The sequence below is a fragment of the Homo sapiens genome, chromosome 3 (genome assembly GCF_000001405.40).
Source record: "Homo sapiens chromosome 3, GRCh38.p14 Primary Assembly".
Classification (NCBI taxonomy): Eukaryota; Metazoa; Chordata; class Mammalia; order Primates; family Hominidae; genus Homo; species Homo sapiens.
This window is the reverse complement of record NC_000003.12, coordinates 30,403,806-30,426,667: the sequence shown is the minus strand read 5'-3', so window position 1 is coordinate 30,426,667 and position 22,862 is coordinate 30,403,806. Positions and strand designations below refer to the sequence as shown.

Here is a 22,862-nt window from a genome sequence, read left to right as displayed (position 1 = left end):
ATATATATTTAAGAAAATCTTCTAAATCTTATTAAGAACAGTAAAAATAGGTGGCATTTGAACTAAAGACGTGCTCCCTTCCCCCGCTCTCCAGCTGAGCATGACAGAAGCTCTACTCCAGCCAAGAGGAGTTGCAGCCAAGAACACAGAGCTTGCATTCCTCCCAGCTCCCAGTCAAGGGCCGTGGTATCTTCTCAGAAAGGACAGGCTGACAGCATTTCTCATTACCACCCCCAGATCTGTGTTGCAGAAGCTCTATTCCAAGCAAGAGCAGCTGAAAAGTCTGGGGCTCCCTTCTTCCATCCACCCCCATTCACAGGGCAGAAGCTCTACCCCAGGTGTGACTGGGTAATAATATTGAACCCTATTGTTAGAAGACAGGATCTTGTAAGGAAACAATTAGAATTAATAAATGAGCACAGTAATGTTCAAGATGTAAGACAAATGTGCAAAACCAATTGTATTTCTATACACTAGCAATTAACAATCTGAAAAAGAAATTAAGGATATAATTCCATTTATGACAGCTTCAAAAGCTATAAATACTTAGAAATGAAATTAACAAAAGAAGTGCAAAACTTGTACTCTGAAAACTGCAAAACATTGATGAAAGAAATTTGAGAAGACTTAAATATTACAACCTATGTTCATGGGTTGGAAGATTTATTATTTTAAGGTGTTAATACTCCACAAATTTATCTACACAATTAATGCAATACTTATCAAAATTACAGATAGCTGACTTTTTTTTCAGAAATTGATAAGTTGATTCTAAAATTCATATAGAGTGCAAGAGAACCAGGATAGCCAAAACAAGCTTTATAAAAAAAGAACAAAATTGGAGGATTTACAGTTCCCGATTGTAGAACCTACTTCAAAGCTACAAAAACCAAGACAATGTGGTATTAGCATTTGGATAGACATATAGATCAATGTAAAAGAATGGAAAGTACAAAAGTAAATCCTGACATTTGCTGTCAACTAATTTTTTGACAAAGTTTCAACATAATTTAATTGCAAGAAAAAGTTTTTTCAATAAGTACTGGGATAACTGGATACCCATATGTAAAGAATGAAATTGGATGCCTTCCTTATACTGTACACAAAAATTAACTTCAAATAAATTATAGACCTAAATGTAAGAGCTAAACTAAAATTATGTACCTAAATGTAAGAGCTAAACGAAAGATCTCATAGAAGAAAACATAGGAACATATCTTTATGATATACCTTCATGGCAAAGCCTTCTTAGATATGACACCAAGTGCACACACCAAAAAATGCATATGAATTCAACTTCATGAAAATTAAAAGCACTTTGCACTTTAAAGGACATTATGAAGCATCTGAGAAGACAACCCACAGAATAAGGGAAATTATTTGCAAATCATATATATCCAATATATATATGTATCTTGTATTTATAAAGAATCCACACAAACCAATAATAAAAAGGGAAATAACCCAATTAAAAATGAGCAAAGGCTCTGATTAGACATTTATCCAAAGAATATACAAATGGCAAATAAGCACAAACAGTTTGGCAGTTTCCTAGAGTGTTAAACATGGAGTTATTATAATACCCAGCAATTTCACTCCTAGTAATATACCCAGACAAAAACATATACCCACATAAAACTTGTACACAAATGTTTATAGCAGTATTATTCATATAGCATAAAAGTAGAATTAAGTAAAATGTCTACTAATTGAAGGATGTATATAAAAATGAATATCCATAAGATGAATGGCTGTTTGGTAATAAAAAAGGAAGAAAATACTACTATATGTCCCAACATAAATGAATCTTGAAATATATACTAAGTTTAAAAACCTGGTAAAAAAAAAAATCACATATTGTATGATTCCATTTATATAAAATGTCCGAATCTATGCAGAAAATATTAGAATAGTAGTTGCTTATGCTGGAGGTTAGGGTAGCAGAACAAAGAGTTACCACAAATGTCAGTGGGTTTAAAATATTTTAAAATTGATTGTAGTAACATTTTGCAATTATGTAAATATACTAAAATCCATTTTAGTTTACATTTTAAAAGGATGAATTGTGTGATATGTAAATTATAGCCTAAATAAGGCTGGCAAAAAATGAATAAATAAGAACCAATTTACCAGAAAAATGTTAATACTAAATGTGTATAATCTAAAATAAAGCCTCAAAATATGTAAAGGAAAAGTTAACAAATTTTAAAGGAGAAATAAATTTCACAATCATGATGACAAACAATGTAACCCTCTAAGTAACTATTAGAGCAAACAAATAAAAAGTAAAAATAAAAAAGTTGACTTATTAATTGATCCAACTGACATGTACACACCACTGTAGCCAGCAAATGTAACATCCACATTCAAGCACACAGGAAACATTTAGCAAACTTGATCGTATGCGGAAGGGTAAAGCAAGTCTCGAGATGGGAGAAGATTGAAATCTGGCAGGTTATTTTGCTCAGGGTAGAAATAAGATAGAAAAGAATTATTAAAAGCTAACTAGATATTCTCAAGTGACAGAAAATTTAAAAATACACGTTTAAAGAATCAATGAGTCAAAAAATAGTGAAAATTAGAAAATATTTTAAGCTCAATGAAAAAGAAAACATATTACATCAAACCTTTTAAAATATGAGCTTAAAGTCTTGCTTAGAGGAAAATTTAAAGCCTTGTTTAGATGTATTAGAAATTAAGAAAGGCTGAAAATTAATGATCTAAGGTATCCACTCCAAATAATTAGATAAAGGGCAGCAAATTAGATCCAAAGAAAGTAAAAGGAAGAAAACAATGAATATAAGAAAGTTAATAAAACTAATGAGGTAGAAAATAAAGATATAATAGACATGACATTATCAACAATCAAAAGGTGGTTATTTGGAAACATTATTAAAAATGACCAGATTCCGCTTTGACCATAAAAAAGGTAGTGAGAAGTGAAAAATTACCAATATAATGAATGTAAGAGAGACATTATTACAGATACTATGGACATTAAAAAGAAAATAAGAGTATTTGATAAACAATTTTATTTTAGTAAATTTTAGACCTCATATCTATTGAGAAAAGTTTTGAGAAAAACTATCAAAGTGATACAGGAAATAGATCATTTGAATAGAATAATATTTATTAAAGTAATCAAATTCACACTGAATAAAACCAAACAAAAAACTTGAGACCCAACTGGCTTTGCTAGTAATTTTTTTCAAACATTTACGGAGAAAATATCAGTCTTATACCCACTCTGAAAAACAAGGAGCACTTTTCAACTCATAAGGTCAGAAAAATTCTGATAGCAATTCCTAACAGTGACATTACAGAAAGATTGACATATAATGAGATTGACATTATAAATCAGTCTCTCTTATGAACATTGGTGGAAAAATGCTAACAGAAAAGTTTACAGACTAAACCTATCAATATATAAAAAGTATAGCACCACAACCAAGTTGAGTTCATATTAGAAAATTGAGGCTGATTAACGTTTAAGAAGTTCATCAATGAAAATACACTCATTAACAGGCCGGGTGCGGTGGCTCACGCCTGTAATCCCAGCACTTTGGGAGGCCAAGGCAGGCAGATCACGAGGTCAGGAGATTGAGACCATCCTGGCTAACAGGGTGAAACTCCATCTCTACTAAAAATACAAAAAATTAGCCGGGCGTGGTGGCAGGCGCCTGTAGTCCCAGCTACTCAGGAGGCTGAAGCAGGTGAATGGCGTGAACCTGGGAAGCGGAGCTTCCAGTGAGCTGAGATCGTGCCACTGTGCTCCAGCCTGGGAGACAGAGAGAGACTCTGTCTCAAAAAAAAAAAAAAAAAGAAAAGAAAAAAGAAAATACACTCATTAACAAAACAAAGGAGAAAATAATAATTATCTCAATAGGTACAGAGAAAATATTGGATAAAATTCAAAAAATTCATAGTTAAAAACAACCTTTTAGTAATTTTGAATAGATGAGAATGTTCCCAATCTGAAGACAGTATTAAATATAACTATAATAAACGGTATAATTTATGGTGAAATATTGGAAATATCACTACAAAGATTAGGATTGAGGCAAAGAAGCCCATTATCACCACTTCCGTGTTAGGCAACTTTCAAGACAGTCCCCCATGATTTCCATATTCTGGTATTGATACCCTTGTATAATTCTCTCCCCTTGAGTCAAGACTGGACTTACTGATTCACTTCTAACAAATATGGCAGAAGTGATAGAATGTTTTTCTGAGATGAGGCTATAAAAAGACTGTCGCTTCCATCTAAACACACTTTCTCTCTTTCTCTTGTGTGCCTGTAGGTGGTCTTTCTTAAGTCATTTTCCAGAGGAGAAGCCAGCTGCCCTCTCTTGACATAGCCATGTGAAGATGCTCAAGTACTGAAGATCCTAAGCCTGCCAACAAACATGTGAGTAGGTTCAGAAATAAATCACCTTTTCTACACTCTTCCATTGGAGACTTCAGTAAGACCACAGCTTCAGGTAACTGGTTGACTATAATTTCATGAAACATCTTAAGCCATAGGCACTCAAATAAGCATCACCCACATTCTTGGCCTATGAAATAGTAAATGTTTGTTGTTTTAAACTATTAAATGTCAAAGTAATTTGTTATGCTGTAAGAGACAACTAATATAACTTTATTCACCATTGTCTCATAGGTCCTAAAATGTGAAGTAAGATAAGAAAAGATGCCATCATTGAGCATATAAAACATGAGTACATTTATTACAGTTGCAGGTTACAAGTTAAACACACAAAGATCACTCACATTATATTAAATAGATATGGCTATAAATATATATTAGCAATAAACAATTCAAAAGTAAAATTTAAAACTGATCAAAAAGCACTCATGATAAAGGAAGATGAAGCACTGATTGATAAAAATTGAAATAATTTTTTTATCATCATAAAAATTAAGAAGTTTTGTTTACCAAAATACATTGTTAAATGAGTGAAAGGCTGGCCAGTGACTAAAAGAATATATTTTAATCCAAATTCTGCATACAAGAAATTTATGCAAAATATATAAAGAACACATACAAACTGAAAGCCAACAGATAGTTCCCCCATTTAAAAATAGCCTAAAGTCTTGAATAAGCACTTCCCAGCAAAGGACATTGAAATAGCAAATAAATGCATGAAAATTGCTTAACATTATTAGTCATCAGAGAATTGCAAATCAAAACTCCAATGAGATACCATACATAACAACAAAATGACTACAATTAAAAAAAAATAAAATGTTGCAATACAAAACGATGGTGACAGTATGAACAGCTGGAACTCTCAGCTACTCCTGGTGAGAATGTCAATGTATACAGCCACTTTAGGAAACTGTTGGCAGTATCCTTCAAAGTTGTGCGTATACCTACTTTTTCATCTAGCAACTCCACTTTTACATGTATACTCCAAAGAAAAACTCAGATATGTACATCAATTGACATGTAAAAGAATTTTAATAACTGCATTATAAATAAGTGCCACAAACTGGAAGCAAACTGAGAGCAATCAGTAGTAGAATGGATAAATTATGATATGTTCACGCAATTGCATACGATCCACCAAAGAAAATGGGTAATTTATTGTTGTAAAAGTAAGCTGAATGAATTTCAAAATTATTACGTTGATTGAAAGAAACCAGACATAAAATAGTACACGGTAGTATCCCATTTTAAAAAGTGAAAAACCAGTGAAAACGAATCCACAGTGTTAGAAGTTAGAATAGTTTTTATATTCTGTGGTTGATAATCACGAGGGGTAGAAACATGAGAGAGACTTTTGGGATGTTGTAATCTTTTATTTATTGTTCTATGTGGTGGTCACATAAATGAGTTTATTTTGTGAGAACGTATGAAGACCTACCAATTAATGCACTTTTCTTAATGTACATTACACTTCAGTAAATGTTGACTTAAACATTTTTCTTAAATCTCTTAATTTTTCTTGTCAGAGTAAATACATTAAGTCAAAAGGCAGAAGCAGTAAGCTTAGAATGCACAGTGCCAGGTAAAATGAGGGTCCTACCTAAGTGCGAAGGGAACTCTGGCAAAGTCAAACCTGCTTGCCTGTCCCACCTAAATGAGCCAGTCCGTCAGCTTCAGCCCATGATAGCTTCTTAAGAGCGTCCACCAGCCTTGACACAGTTTTTAGTCTTTCAAAGAAAGTCAGCAATTCGCAGTTTTATGTAAGATCTGCTGAGTTAATTTTTTTAAAACCACTTTACTGAGCTGTTATTGACATGTAAAAAGCTGTACATATTTAATATATGTAACTGGAGGAGTCTGGGGTAAGTACACACCGTGAAACCATCACCACCATCAAGACTGTAAACATGTCCCTCACCTCCCAGTTTCCTCTTACTTCTTCTTCATTATTATTATTATTATTATTATTGTTAATACTATTTATGGTAAGAACACAACACAAAAATCTATCCTCTTAGCAAAATTTAAGTATACAATACAATATTGTTACATATAGGCATTATGATGTATAGTAGATCTCCAGAATTTATTTACCTTGTATAACCAAAATGTTGTACCCTTTGACCATCATCACCCTACTTCTCTCTACCGCCAGCCCCTGAAAACCACCATTCTTCTCTCTGCTTCTGCAAGTTTGACTACTTTACATTCCACATATAAGTGGGATCATACAGTATTTGTCTTTCTGTGTCTGGCTTATTGCTGTTAGAATAAAGTCCTCCAGACCCATCTATGTGATTGCAAATTGAAGGATTTCTTTCTTCTTTCAGGCTGAATAATACATCCATTGTATGTAAGTACCACATTTTCTGAATCCATTCATCCATCCATAAGCATTTAGGTCGTTTCCATGTGTTGACTTTAGTGAATAATGCTACAATGAATATGAGAGTATAGGTATCTCTTTGAGATCCTGATTTCAATTCTTTGGATGGATAAATACCCAGAAGTGGAATTGCTAGATCAGATGGCAGTTTTATTTTTAATTTTTTATGAGAACTTCCACACCATTTTCCAAAACAGCTGTACCAATTTACATACCCACCAACAGTATTCAAAGGTTCCCTTTACTCCACATCTTCACCAACACTTGTTATGTTTTTTAAAAGTAATAGCCATGCTAACAGATGTGAAGTGATATCTCATGTATGTTTCTTTTGCACTACCCTGATGATTAGTAAAGGCAAGCACCTTTTCATAAACCTGGGATAAAAAGAGACTAGTAGACAAACGGAACAGAAAGAGAGCCCAGAAATAAATCTATGCACGTTAGGTCAATTAATCTTTGACAAGGTCATCAAAAATGCAAAATGAGAAAAGAAGAGTCTTTAATAAGCGGTATTTGGAAAACTGGGTATCCACATGCAAAAGAATGAAGTTGGATCTGTATTGTACACTATATACAAAAATTAATACAGATGGATTAAAGACTTAATTATAAGACCTCAAATCTAAAACTCCTAGAAGAAAACGGAAAAAAAATCTCCTACGTATTGGTGTTGGCAATGATTTTTTTAATATGATATCAAAAATGCAGGCAGCAAAAGCAAAACTAGGCAAGTGGGACTACATCAAACTCAAAAGTTCTGCACAGCAAGAGATACAATCATCAAAAGGAAAAGGCAACCTATGGAAGGGGAGAAAATATTTGCAAATCATATATTTGAGAAGTGTTGATATTGGAAATATGTAAGAAACTCCTATGACTCCATGGCAAAAAAAAAAACCCTCAAATAACCTGATTAAATAATGGACAAAGGGCTTAAATAGATGTGTCTCCCAAGAAGACACAAAAATCTTGACTTTTAATGTTGGCATCAAATTAGAATTCTATAAAACATTGCAGTCTAAACAAAAGACAGCTGCAAACTTGATTTAATCATTTTGTTAACTCTAATCTATAGTGTCAGCATGCAAATTAGAATTGTAGAGTTGGAAACCAAATATTACCATCCCCAATATTAAGCTATATCAGATAACTGCTGATGCTCATCTTTGATATGATTCATTATTCTTAGAAAGTTTCATGCATTTTTCTTCTCTGACTACATCATCAAAGGTCACATGTGTACTTATAAAGAATGTGTATTTTGCAAATGTTAAGTATTAGGTTCTACATATAGAAATTCAGCCAACTTTGTGTTTCAATCTTTTGTACCCTTATTGATCTTTTATTTACTTGTTTTATCAAACTCTGAGAGTAACGTATGAAAATATCCAACTATGGCATTTAACTTACCTATTTCTAGTTTTTGTTCTATCTACTTTTGCTTTGTGTAATTCGAGGCTATGATATCACATGCATACAACTGTTAGTATTATTTTGTCTTGCTGTGGCATTGAAACTTTTATTATTAAAAAAAAGCCTCTCTTAAAAAATTCATGCTTATTTACATTGGCTAACTTTTTAGACAGTTTCCACTTTAGTAATGTCCTACTTCCTTCTCTGGTTCTCACAGTTGTCCATCAAAGACTTGCCCAATGTCACCCCAGTCTGTGCTGTCTTTTTTGCTGCCATACCCTCAAGAAGCATGAACTGTCCCCTTACCTATGCTTTTAGGTCCATATTTCTATTATTAGACATTATATATTACATTGCAGTTGTTTTTCCATCTCTTTTATTATTTAGTTTATGAACTCCTTGAGAACAGTTAAAAGAGAAATACAGTTAGATTTTTTTTTGCAGCATTTGCATGATGCAAGATAAGTCACCCTATGCAAAACAAAGGCACAATGAATATCTGGTAGCAATGTTGTCCTATTAAACACAGGATTTTAGAACCAATACTTGCTCCTCTGGAGAGCCAGTTCACTTCCATCAGTAAAACTCTTGGCAGTGAGGGAAGACGTACCTATGTATTTCATCCTAGTCACAGATGTACTGTAAAAAACTACCTTGGAAATCCCTATGAAAACAGCCTCTGTTTTTGTGACATAGAAGCAAGAAGGAACTATAGATTCCATCTACTTACTTGGCATAGAATGGGGGACATGCAATAAATAAGGTAGACAAATGTCCTGGCCTTTTGGAGCTTACATATTACTAAGGGGAGACAGTGAATGATTAAACAAGCCCCATTATTTCAGATTGTGGAAAGAACAAAGAAGGAAAGAGTGTAATGAGATTGAGGGTAATAGTGGAGTGGGTAAGGAGAGGGCCACTTTACATTGGGAGGCTATGGAAAACCTCTTGGAGATTTTTGAGCTGAGGTAAGGAGTCACCCCATGGAAATGTGGAGAGAGAATTCTGAGTGGGGACATAATAGTGTGGTTGGTCCACAGTAAGTGGAAATAAGCTTGGTGTATTGCAAAAAAAGAAGTGAGATCAGTGCAGTGGGGCCCAGTGAGCAATGGGGAGAGTGATGTGAGGCCAGTCGGGATAAGGTGAAGCCATGACTTGCTTGGCTGGGTAGGTCAGATTGTGTTCTAAGGGCATTGGAGGCCTTTGGAGGGAATGATGTAATCTGACTTTTGCCTTTATAAGACCACTGGTCACTGAATTGAGAACAGGTGGCAGGGAAAACAAAGATGGAAATTCATAGATCATTAAGAGGCTATTGCTATAGTTATGGCAATAAATGATGACTGGACTTGGTGAAGACAAGTGGGTGGATTTGAGGTGTTTGGGGAGCTAAATGGTAGATTATGAAAATGCAGGTGAGAGAGAGGGAGACATTTTCAAGGTTTTGGGCTGGAGCCATCAAGTCTCGGGAGGGCTCTGCCATTATGAGATAGAGAAAACTAGGTGTGGAGTAGGCAGGGAGGGGGCATTGAGAGCTTGTTTAGCTGTTAATTATAGTATGACAACACCTAATGCCATGCCAGGGTAGAATTGAAGTACCACTGTGACGTCAAGAGCCTGGATGAGTGAGAAAGAGAGACGGGGGCAAAGACTAGCCCCTGGCATCCTCTGACATTTCCAGTACAAAAGAGAAGGGCCAAACAGGAGTTTTAGAAGGAACAGTCAGTAGTTTATGAGGAAACTGAGGCAAGTGTAGACTCACAGAAGCTTAGACAAGACAATATATTAAGGAAGAGAGAAAAATGAAAGTATAGTCTTATATGAGTGACTGCTATATAAAATGGAAAATGGAATCCCTAGACTTTTAACATTCACTCTGTGTACTACTCTAGGACCAGCCTTTTCTTTCAATGCATCATACCACCCTGTCGTTTGTTCAGGATATTATAGTCACACTGGCTTGTTTTCCAGTGTCTCAAGCAAACCAAGTTCATTCCCATCACTACGAGTTTGTCCTGGCTATTCCCTTTCTCTGAAAAACTTCCTTTCCAGCTCTTCACTCAGATCCTTCTCACTCTCCAATTCTCCACTTAAATGCCACCTCCTCACAATGGCCTTCCAGATCTCTCTCCCTAAAGTAGACCCTTCTCCAGGCTTTCTATCATCTTACTGTTTAATTACTTCTCAGGACTTCTTATTATCAGAAATTACAGTTTATCATTTGTTTCATTATTTATTTTCTCTGTATCTCAATGAGAACATAAGATCTGTGAGAGCAGAGGCATTTCTGATCTTTTCCAATGCTGATCCTAGCATCAGTAAATTGTCTGTGTTGGTTGAAAAAGTAAATAAATAAGAGAGAGAAGGCTAATTAAATTAGAAATACCAAATTTGATGGCAATGTTTATTAGAACACAGTGGTATGTTCTTATTTGTAGGCTTGCTCTATTAGCCCACTAGGGCTGCCATAACAAAATACCACAAGCTGGATAACTTAAACAACAGAAATTTATTTCTCACAATTCTGGAGAATGAAAGTTCAATTTCAAGATGGTGGCAAGTTTGGTTTCTCCAGAGGCCTCTCTCTTTGGCTTAAAGATGGTTGCCTTCTCACTGTTGCCTCACATGGCCTTTTCTCTGTACTCACACAGGCCTGGTGTCTCTTTCTCTCTCTTCTTATAAGGTCATCGACATAATGAAGCAGGATCCCACCATTATGACTTCATTTAGCCTTAATTATCTCCTTAAATGCCATATCTCCAAATATAGTCATATTTGGGGTTGGGCTTTAAAATATGAATTTAAGGTGGACATGATTAAGTCCATAACAGCTGCATTTATCTCTATCATGTCCATTCTCTCATTGCATGAGTCTATGACTCAATTCCATAGTGAGATAGAATGCCATTTGTATTCTACTTAAATTGGCATCACTGGGAGTTTAAAAAGAGGGTGAGAGAATGCTTATTTAGGTAGATATTAATGGCTTCTCAAAGAATCTATGCCAAATCTAGAGAATAAGAAAGGGTAGTAGTATATTCTTTTCTTTCTATATCAGAAAAACACTTTAATATTTTCATCCTCCACTCCAGAACATTGGCTTTCTTTCCTCCAGATATGAAAATTCAAGCATGAAATTGTTATTAAAGACCTCATTATTCCTCTTCAAATAGCACACAAGACCTGAAATATAGTTTAATTATTTAAATGGGTCACGTTGTAAGTAATGATTGACTAGTACATTGCTTACTTAGAAAAGGAAATCATATTGGTACATTTAATTCTGTTGAGTAGTGAGCAGTGACCTCTTTTTGATTAATGGTTTCACCCTAAGCACTTTTCATTTTGATCTCTAATTAGGTATAATTAGAACAATCCAAACTTTTCAACTTAGATAACTCTCTTGGCTTGCTTATGTCTTCATTATTTTGTCTGGAAAACTACATGAAACAAAGGCATAACATTAAAAAAAGACATTGCAAGTTTTCCAGAAATTTCTAGATAAAAACAGAAATAATGTATTTTCCTTTTGCTACTATGCAAAGATTGATCATTCAACAGATGTTCCAGGCATTGCCTGAAACTATCTTTTACAAAATAATGCATATGGCCTCTGAGAGAACAAACAGTGTACTGAATATGACAAACTATAATGCCCATGCTGGTTATAGGGTACAGTTTTAAAGCTGGATTTTAGTTTAATCTCCAGAGTGTATGTTGAATCAAGTCTGGTTCTCACTATAAGATTTTTTTTACCTTACAGAAAAAGCATTGACGTTATTTTTGCAGAAGTTTTCTTATTATTAGACCATTGAATGGGTACAATTCTAGAAAGTAACAAAGTCATGCTTCATTCTTTGATGACACACCAATGTCCTTCCAATTTGGGGATCCTGGTTGTTCCTTGTGAAATAAAGTTCATCTGGTGATATTGGCTTTCCCACTACAGTCCAACCTCAGTCACCCTTGGAACACATCCAGGCCTAAAAAGACAATTTGTTTAAAAGGCAGGTTATATTCTAGCCCCTTAGAGTTGGTTTTCAGTTTCTGTTGTCACACAGCTGAAGTCTCAATCTCTAGTTTTCTTTGAAAAATGTGGGAATTTCTTCACAAACAGGAGTGTCAGGAACACCAAGCAGTAGAAAGAATCAATCAGAAGCTCTTTAGTTTAATTAGATCCCATTTGTCAATTTTGTCTTTTGTTACCATTGCTTTTGGTGTTTTAGACATGAAGTCCTTGCCCATGCCTATGTCCTGAATGGTAATGCCTAGGTTTTCTTCTAGGGTTTTTATGGTTTTAGGTCTAACATTTAAGTCTTTAATCCATCTTGAATTGATTTTTGTATAAGGTGTAAGGAAGGGATCCAGTTTCAGCTTTCTACATATGGCTAGCCAGTTTTCCCAGCACCATTTATTAAATAGGGAATCCTTTCCCCATTGCTTGTTTTTCTCAGGTTTGTCAAAGATCAGATAGTTGTAGATATGTGGCGTTATTTCTGAGGGCTCTGTTCTGTTCCATTGATCTATATCTCTGTTTTGGTACCAGTACCATGCTGTTTTGGTTACTGTAGCCTTGTAGTATAGTTTGAAGTCAGGTAGTGTGATGCCTCCAGCTTTGTTCTTTTGGCTTAGGATTGACTTGGCGATGCAGGCTCTTTTTTGGTTCCATATGAACTTTAAAGTAGTTTTTTCCAATTCTGTGAAGAAAGTCAATGGTAGCTTTATGGGGATGGCATTGAATCTGTAAATTACTTTGGGCAGTATGGCCATTTTCACGATATTGATTCTTCCTACCCATGAGCATGAAATGTTCTTCCATTTGTTTGTATCCTCTTTTATTTCCTTGAGCAATGGTTTGTAGTTCTCCTTGAAGAGGTCCTTCACATCCCTTGTAAGTTGGATTCCTAGGTATTTTATTCCCTTTGAAGCAATTGTGAATGGGAGTTCACTCATGATTTGGCTCTCTGTTTGTCTGTTGTTGGTGTATAAGAATGCTTGTGATTTTTGTACATTGATTTTGTATCCTGAGACTTTGCTGAAGTTACTTATCAGCTTAAGGAGATTTTGGGCTGAGACAATGGGGTTTTCTAGATATACAATCATGTCGTCTGCAAACAGGGACAATTTGACTTCCTCTTTTCCTAATTGAATACCCTTTATTTCCTTCTCCTGCCTAATTGCCCTGGCCAGAACTTCCAACACTATGTTGAATAGGAGTGGTGAGAGAGGGCATCCCTGTCTTGTGCCAGTTTTCAAAGGGAATGCTTCCAGTTTTTGCCCATTCAGTATGATATTGGCTGTGGGTTTGTCATAGATAGCTCTTATTATTTTGAAATACATCCCATCAATACCTAATTTATTGAGAGTTTTTAGCATGAAGGGTTGTTGAATTTTGTCAAAGGCTTTTTCTGCATCTATTGAGATAATCATGTGGTTTTTGTCTTTGGCTCTGTTTATATGCTGGATTACATTTATTGATTTGTGTATATTGAACCAGCCTTGCATCCCAGGGATGAAGCCCACTTGATCATGGTGGATAAGCTTTTTGATGTGCTGCTGGATTCGTTTTGCCAGTATTTTATTGAGGATTTTTGCATCAATGTTCATCAAGGATATTGGTCTAAAATTCTATTTTTTTGTTGTGTCTCTGCCTGGCTTTGGTATCAGAATGATGCTGGCCTCATAAAATGAGTTAGGGAGGATTCCCTCTTTTTCTATTGATTGGAATAGTTTCAGAAGGAATGGTACCAGTTCCTCCTTGTACCTCTGGTAGAATTCAGCTGTGAATCCATGTGGTCCTGGACTCTTTTTGGTTGGTAAGCTATTGATTATTGCCACAATTTCAGCTCCTGTTATTGGTCTATTCAGAGATTCAACTTCTTCCTGGTTTAGTCTTGGGAGAGTGTATGTGTTCAGTAATTTATCCACTTCTTCTAGATTTTCTAGTTTATTTGTGTAGAGGTGTGTGTAGTATTCTCTTATGGTAGTTTGTATTTCTGTGGGATCGGTGGTGATATCCCCTTTAAAAGAAACTACCATCAGAGTGAACAGGCAACCTACAAAATGGGAGAAAATTTTCACGACCTACTCATCTGACAAAGGGCTAATATCCAGAATCTACAATGAACTCAAACAAATTTACAAGAAAAAAACAAACAACCCCATCAAAAAGTGGGCAAAGGACATGAACAGACACTTCTCAAAAGAAGACATTTATGCAGCCAAAAAACACATGAAAAAATGTCCATCATTACTGGCCATCAGAGAAATGCAAATCAAAACCACAATGAGATACCATCTCACACCAGTTAGAATGGCAGTCATTAAAAAGTCAGGAAACAACAGGTGCTGGAGAGGATGTGGAGAAATAGGAACACTTTTACACTGTTGGTGGGACTGTAAACTAGTTCAACCATTGTGGAAGTCAGTGTGGCGATTCCTCAGGGATCTAGAACTAGAAATACCATTTGACCCAGCCATCCCATTACTGGATATATACCCAAAGGACTATAAATCATGCTGCTATAAAGACACATGCACAAGTATGTTTATTGTGGCACTAATTCACAATAGCAAAGACTTGGAACCAACCCAAATGTCCAACAATGATAGACTGGATTAAGAAAATGTGGCACATATATACCATGGAATACTATGCAGCCATAAAAAATGATGAGTTCCTGTCCTTTGTAGGGACATGGATGAAACTGGAAATCATCATTCTCAGTAAACTATCACAAGGACAAAAAACCAAACACCACATATTCTCACTCATAGGTGGGAATTGAACAATGAGGTCACATGGACACAGGAAGGGGAATATCACACTCTGGGGACTGTTGTGGGGTGGGGGCAGGGAGGAGGGATAGCATCGGGAGACATACCTAATGCTAGATGACGAGTTAGTGGGTGCAGTGCACCAGCATGGCACATGTATACATATGTAACTAACCTGCACAATGTGCACATGTACCCTAAAACTTAAAGTATAATTAAAAAAAAAAAAGAAGTTTAAAATATCCCAAAGTAAAAAAAAAAAAAAAAAAAAAAAGAATCAATCAAATGTAACATTAATTCACACTTCAGCAGAATCTAAGCCGCCCCTTCAATTCCCAGATCCACTTGAACTGAGTCTGTTTTACCTCCAGGTTGGTCATGACTTGAAGCTCAAGTTTTTCAGGTGTTTTCACAGATGCCCAACTTGAATGCACTGGGGAGTCTAAAGGGTTTAGAAGTTTTTTGCTCACCCTCTTCCCCTTTCCTTCCCAGGAACAACACATTTTTTTTCTTGTCATTTACACCCTTGCCATCTTATCAAAAACCAAAAGAACCATCAGAAATAGTATGGGGTGTGGGTGGGCTTATCAAATAATTAATTCCAAATTAATATAGTAGTCTCTCTTTCTAAGATTACTTCTGATAAATAGAATTTTGACTTATCCTAGTACAAATGTTTATTTCCTTCTGAGTTGTCTCAAACTTTAGGATAGTGGAAAATATCATGGATTTTTGAAAATTCAGATTCAAATGGTAGGTCACTGTCTTGTAAAAATTAGTTATCTTCTTTAACTCTGTTTAATCCATAGTAAATGGTACCTCAGTAAGGTAAGGTATAAAGTTCCCAGAAAGAGATTGGCAGTTGCCTTCTCTCTTTCCCTCTTGTATACTATGTATAGTACCTAGCATAGCTCCTGGAGCCTGGGACATGTTTACATGTTTGCTAAGTTGAAACCATTGGAAATAAACTTTGGAAGTGGAAATTCTTTATCCTGGAAGAACTTTACAGGACAGAAAGATAATTCTCTTATGAAAAGACAGTTAATTTGCATTTTATGTGAATATTTTAAGTGTTGTTTTCAAGAGATAGGTTTCTTCTGTCTTGTGCACAGTGATAATTATATAATAATTTATTGTTTCTGAACATACAGCAAAATATTCGTCGTCATCATCAGGCTGCAGAGAGTGAAATATTTTCAAAAGTCATCTGTGAAGAGTTATGAAACTAAAGGAAAACCAGGCAGGAGTTAGAGAACTGTTGTGGATGAGGGGGAGAAAAAATGGGGTAATGGTAAGATAAATCAGAGTAGGGTTATTATTTTGGGATGTGTAGGAAATAAAATATCTGCCTCATCTTACTCTTCTGCTGTGCATACATTCTCTCTAGAGAAGCATAGCCTCTCCAAAGTCGAAGCCCACACTGGAGTAATTTCTATAGTTAGCCCCTTCCTGCCTTAATGTCTAAAAGCTTAGAGTGCTCCCTATTGTAAAATCCAATAAAAACGAAGGGCTTGCTTTCCATACTAAATTCCTAACTACATTTCTCTTAATGAGTTTAATGAGTGTTGATTCAATTTATAGACAGATATTTTTCAATAGCCCCCAAGCCTATAAAGCCACAAGAGGAAAATACACTTATCCAGGTGGTAAAATGTAAATGCATCTCTCCAATCCAACTGGTTTCATTTAATCTTAGGTTGTTTGTCTCATATTGTTCTTCCCACGTGAAATGAAAATGGCTGATGCTGTTGAGAGAAGCCAAACAAATGGTAACATTTCAACTTTTAAATCTCTCCTGAGTCACTTAGAAAATAAATTCAAACTTTGTTTTCCCCGTTTGGAATTAGATTCCACAATCCCCTCCCCTGTATATGCCAAACCTATTATGCATCTCCACGTTTGAAAAGTTTGTGACATCTTTTTTGGCTAGGAAAAGGCGATGTAGAATATTATGTATACAGTAATTTTTTCTTTTTGTAAGCTTTTCAAACTCTGGCCTCAGGTTGCTTTTTAAAAACTTTAAATTTTTTCCCCTGGTGCCAAGAGTTACAAAGCTTAAAAGGAGACAGTGAGAAAAAGGAAAATGGTGGTGAGAATTTAGAAACAGCACTTACAGAATATCCTGAAGACGTTTAGTTTCTCTGGCCCTGTCAATCCTAGTGTATGTTTTATTGAGCAGACAAGATTTCAAACAAATAAACCAGATTTCGATTTTTCAGAGGACTTCTGATTGAATCCAGAATTTAGGGGACACAGATCAAGCAGGTGGAAAAAAGGAAAAGAACAATAAACAAAAGTAAAATGAGAAGAGAAAAGTGGAGAATGGGAGGTGATCTACTCCCCTTTTTTTCCTTCAATTCTGTTATAGCAACTACACTAGAAAGTCCTTTTCACATCATCTCAGGTGGGACAGTTTTAATTATTCTCATTTAACACTATTTTCATTATATGAAAAAGTTAAGGCTCAGAGAAATTCAGCAATTTGTCTCAAATCACATGTTTTTAAAGAGGTAAACAAATTTCAACCCAAGTCTGCTATTTCCATGACAAACTTCTCTTAGTCAGGATTAAGGATGGATAAAAAGATGAAAGAGAAAAAGAACTCTGAAAAAACAAAACTTCATCAGATAATTACTATATTTGAGATCTTTTAGTGATTTTAATTTTATATGTATGTATAGGGTAAAAAAATTTAAAAATTCAATAAAGTGTAAAAAAAAAGAAACAAAATAATGACTGCTAGTTTTCGGTATATTTCCTTGCAGAATGTTAGCTTTTTTTTTTTTTTGGTGTTCAACTATTTGTTTATATATACATATATTTACAAAATTGAGATCATCTATTTGTAATCTGCCATTTTTTAACAGTATATGATAAACATTTTCTGTCTGCACATAATCTTCTATAAGATGATTTTAAATAACTGAGTAATTCATTTCAATCAAAAAAATTTTATTGAATACATCCTATGTCCCAAGCACTAACTAGGAAATAGGTATTTACAATGATAAAAAGCAAATGGTCTCCTTGCCCTTGGAAAGTTTACACTTGGTGGGAGAAAGTAGTATATTAGTCCTTTCTCATGCTGCTAATAAAGACATACTCAAGGCTGAGTAACTTACGAAGGAAAGAAGTTGATTTGACTCACAGTTCAGCATGGCTGGGGAGGCCACAGGAACTTCTAATCATGGCAGAAGGGGAAGCAAACACCCTCTTCTTCACATGCTGGCAGGAAGGAGATGTGCCAAGCAAAAGGGGAAAAAAGCTCCTTATAAAACCATCAGATCTCATAAGAACTCACTCACTATCATGAGAACAGCATGAGGGTAAAAACACCCATGATTAAATTACCTCCACAGGATTCCTCCCACGACATGTGGGCATTATGGGAACTACAATTCAAGATGAGATTTTTGTGGGGACACAGCCAAACCAAATAATGAGCAAGTAGACAAATAAATACAGAATTTGATCTATAAAGTATGATGAAGAAAATCTATCTGTGGATTTAGTACACAATTACTCTAAGTTAGAAAGGAAATTCAGAGTGTGTGTATTTGAGAATATGGCATTAGAGTTGAGAACTAAAGAATAAGAAGGAATTTAAAGGTTTTTTAAAAAATAAGAAATTGCATTCAGAACAAAGAAAGGGCACTTCAGATAAGGGGTTCAGCATATAAACTGACTCAAGGAAGTTTTGCTCTGTTAAGGGACAGAGAATTAGAAGAAAGTTCTGTGCTGCTGAAATATTTGTGGAGGGAGGAGAGAATGATAAGAGATGAGCTAAGAGATGTTATCCAGGAGGAGATCATGCAGGGTTTTGTGGGCCATTGCGGAATTTGGATTTCATTCTAAGTACAACTGGGAAACTACTAGTGATTGCTAAGTGAGGATAAGTCTGATTTGATGAAGGTATAATAGGCATGAATTTCTCAGTCACAGACTCACGCACATAAAAATGAAACATTTCTTCACTCAAATTGATTTCTAAGTTTTAGCCTCAAGCTTGTCCAGCAGCAGACAATCAAATCTATCCAATTGCAAGTTTCTCTCAGTTTGATCCAGGGATTTTTCACTAACTCCAAAAGTATAATTTAATCATACTCTGTCCTTCACCTCTTCTTTGTTCAGGAAAGAAGGGTCTTATGAACATTATTATGTTGAGAGGTGTGTGTGTTCCATTTGTGTATGTGATGGTGGTTGGATTATTTCTTCTTTGCTGGCTTTTACTGCTGATATAAGTGATTCAGTCTTCAGGCACATTTCCTATCTATGTGGATAATTGGGAATTGTCTAGTTGTCTTGTGCTAGATGCTGGTCATCAATTTTTACCCTGCTGACATGACTCTGGTCCCACCAGACCTCCAGTCCCCAGGTCCATGCAGGTTGCTGGTCTCAGCAGTCAAACATAGTTCATACAGCTGGGACTTTTCTCAGACCCTCCATGGCCTTCTCTTAGGTATAGAAAATGATCAATGTCTCGCCTGTGCTTTTGTGAGTCCTGAGGGATATGGATTTATTCTTTAACTTTCATAAGTTTCCTGAAATTATACTTCTTAAAGTTTGTCTTCCAGGATTCTAGTGACCTGGAGTTCCAGCTAATAGAGCCACAAATTCACTCTATTCTGAGATTACCAAATTTAAAGAAAGATTTCCACCAGAACTATAGGCTAGAGACAGAGGTGACTAGAGGTTGGAGGAATCCTCCTATCCACACAACATATGACCATGTCTGTTTTTTTGTTGTCTTTCCAAAATTATTTTATCTCCTCTGCTTTTGTCTGCTCTGGAATGTGGGGATGTGGCAGTATGACGGCAGGGACTCAACTCAGAAGCCATGAGTGTGGCATCTTTGACTTCACTGTGAACCTACACATGACATTGAGTACACATTCCACATAGCTACGAAAAGAAGACGGCCAGTGGGTATGCTATGGGTAGAAGGCAGCATAATCAGCAACATTTTGAGGCATTATCCTGCTACGGACATTTTTACAAATTTATCAGGGCTGCCCCACAGCTCGTCCTTATATCCAGTTCTTACTCCAACTTTGGGCAGGTTCTGGGTTTTCTTAGGCGTATCCTCTTATTACTCCTTAGGCAGCTTTTGCTTTGCTTGCTGGGATTTGCTAATTTTGGTGCCCTTCCTGTAGTCTAATCTTATGCGCAGTTAAAGTTTTGGGCATATGGCGGTACAATTTCCTTGTTTTCAACACTAATATTTTTTTAACTATTTATTTATAAATATATTTTAACCATTTCAGTTAGAATTTATGAGTTTAAATTTCTACTCTTTGATTGCCATGTTATCATTTGCTTTGTTTTAAAATACTTACCTATTTAATCCACCTGGAATGCATTTTAGCGTTTTGTATGAGGTATCAAATTTTGATTTTTTTCCCCAAAGAGTTAACCAATGGTTCAATTAATATTTATTGGTGTAAAATGTTACCTTTTAAAGTCCTTTTTTTAATAAAAAATGTGTTTTCTGGGATTTCAATTACTTTTTTGCTTATTTCTACTTTATTACTACAGCATGAATTATTATCTTTTTATGTCTATTTTCAAATTTCATTGAGAAATTTTTTAATACCCCTTGCTTATTCAAAGTATTCTTGGCAAGTATCAACCCTATATTTTTCCGGATAAATTTTATAATCAATTAGCCAGAATTTTAAAAAGCAAACACCTTGAGTTTTATATTAAATTTTGAAATTTACTTGGGAAAAATTTATTTTCATCCCAGAATATTGTGTATATCCACTCTTTTATTTCTTTTATAAAGTTATTTTGCACACATTTTTCTGTTGAATGTTTTCCTAGTGATTATTGTTTCACTGCAGCTATTGGATTTTACAGATTTATTTTGTCTCTGGACATTTTGTTAGTTGTATAGCATTTTCTAGTTGATTCTTCTCACTTTTCTAGTCAAATAATGTCAACTATAAATAGTAATTGAATCTCCTCCTTTGCAATTGTTAAACATCTTGGTTACACTTCTTGTTTTATGCCATTGATTGAATCTTGCAAAACAAAGCTTAAGAAAAGGTAGTGACAATAGTTCAAATCTTTGTTTCTTTTCTCATTTTAATGAGAATGTTTTTGTTGTTTTATTCTTATATGCTAAGTTAGCCTCACGTTACATATTCTTTCTTTTCTTGTTCAAGATTTTGTGTGTAATGTACTGATATTCATTGATTAATTTTCTAAACTGATTACATGATTTTTCGTGTGGTGTGATAATTCATATTATCACATTTCTTATTAAGAAACCATAATAGATGGATAAGGTTTTTAGATTATATTCTACTTGCTCTTGATGAATCATTTCTTTTAATAAACTACCAAATTTGACTGACTGTACTTTAAGAACTTAGAATATATATCAATAATATTTATATATTTATACTTTCACTTTAATGAAGTATAGCATTTACATAGCAAAGTTCACATGTTATAAATGTATTATGAAGTGATGATGTGAAATGTTTCTATTTTTATTTTATTTCATTTAAAAATTTTATATTTTGATCCCTTCTGTTAGATTTCAGCTGCAGGATTAAGCTTATCATGTAAAATGAACTGTTAAGCTTCCCATCATTTTCAGTGATGGAAAAAGTTTATGTAATATGAGACTTTTCTGTCTCTTTATACTTTAAAATAACTAGTCTATAAAATCATATCTGAGCCTAGATCCTTTTTATGAACTTTTTCCATTTATTCCATGACTATTTGTGTCATATTTTATCTCTGTACAATTTTGTAATATTTTCTATAGGAATTGGTAATATATATTATTGCCCTATGCTTTGAAAACAATAACCATTTATCTTGTTATATCATATTTTAAACCTAATTTGTGAATTTATGTTCTCCAATTTCTTTTGAGATTACATTTGCCAGGAAAATTCATTGTTTTCCTCAGGAACTTGTTCTTTGATTTATGCAGCCTATGTCTTTAATTATTTATTTTCAGCTTTTAACTTTATTAATTCCCTCCATTTCATTGGACTTGTTTTATTATTTCTCATATAACTTCCTGAATTCCTTACTCATTTTTCTTGTGCTATGTTTCTTGTTGTAAATGAAAGCATTCATAACAATGAAATAACCCTGAGGACATGCCACATGTTCATATATGTTTTCTAAAATTTTTTATCTTTCTAAAAATTCTGCAAATGCTTTTTGGATAGACTCTCTGAATCAAGAGCTCAGAATGCTGTAATGTAAAGATAGAAGCTGATTTCCACCTCATACAACAGGAGTTCTAGGATGGTTCAGAGCTAATAAGGCAGTCCCTACATGATTGTCCAAGCTCCCAAGAATCTCCCGCAATTTTGCACCAATATCCTTTGGACCTTATTTTTGTCCACATAAGTATTACATAAGTGATGTGTCTGTCTTGGGGAATCACAAGCATCAGATCTGGAGGCACAAGTTGTCCATTCGAGATTAACTGTGATCACCTGGTAAAGGTATTGTCTAACTTCCCCACTACATATTTAGGATGTTTTTCCCTTTTGCAACTAATAAGTCATTTACAGGGAAGCACTTTGAGATCACGCAAATATCTTACTCCCCATCAGAAAATTCCCTCTAGATTCAGCATCCATGATGATATTTGCTGAGAAGCAATTTTTATCAAAATTACTGCATTTAACTTGTATATTAAAGACAGCATATGGGACAATTGTTTTGGTGTCAATGTCTCTCTCCCTGTTTCCGACAATAACCCGACCCTTAACAATCCTTTGCCCCACCCAACCCAACATGACATAAATTCCTTTTAGTAGCTTCTCCTTTAAGTTATTAATTTTAAAAGTTATTATGATCATATTTCAAACATTTTCAAAA

The 22,862-nt window shown here is 34.8% G+C and overlaps 2 long non-coding RNA genes across 6 annotated transcripts in view; one reads left to right on the top strand and one right to left on the bottom strand.

Moving 5' to 3' along the window:
- Positions 1-6,928, top strand: part of LOC105377013 (uncharacterized) — a 47,433-nt gene extending 40,505 nt beyond the window's left edge. The window contains exon 4 of the long non-coding RNA XR_940683.2: positions 4,302-6,928. This is a non-coding gene — a long non-coding RNA (uncharacterized LOC105377013). The remainder of the gene's footprint in view (positions 1-4,301) is intronic.
- LOC101927995 (uncharacterized) overlaps positions 1-22,862 on the bottom strand; it is a 119,590-nt gene that overhangs the window by 42,713 nt on the left and 54,015 nt on the right. The window contains exon 4 of one of the 5 annotated variants that reach the window (XR_001740626.2): positions 15,775-16,753. The exons of the other annotated variants lie outside the window; for them this stretch is intronic. This is a non-coding gene — a long non-coding RNA (uncharacterized LOC101927995). Of the gene's footprint in view, positions 1-15,774; positions 16,754-22,862 lie in introns of those variants that run through there. 5 annotated transcript variants of the gene reach the window in all.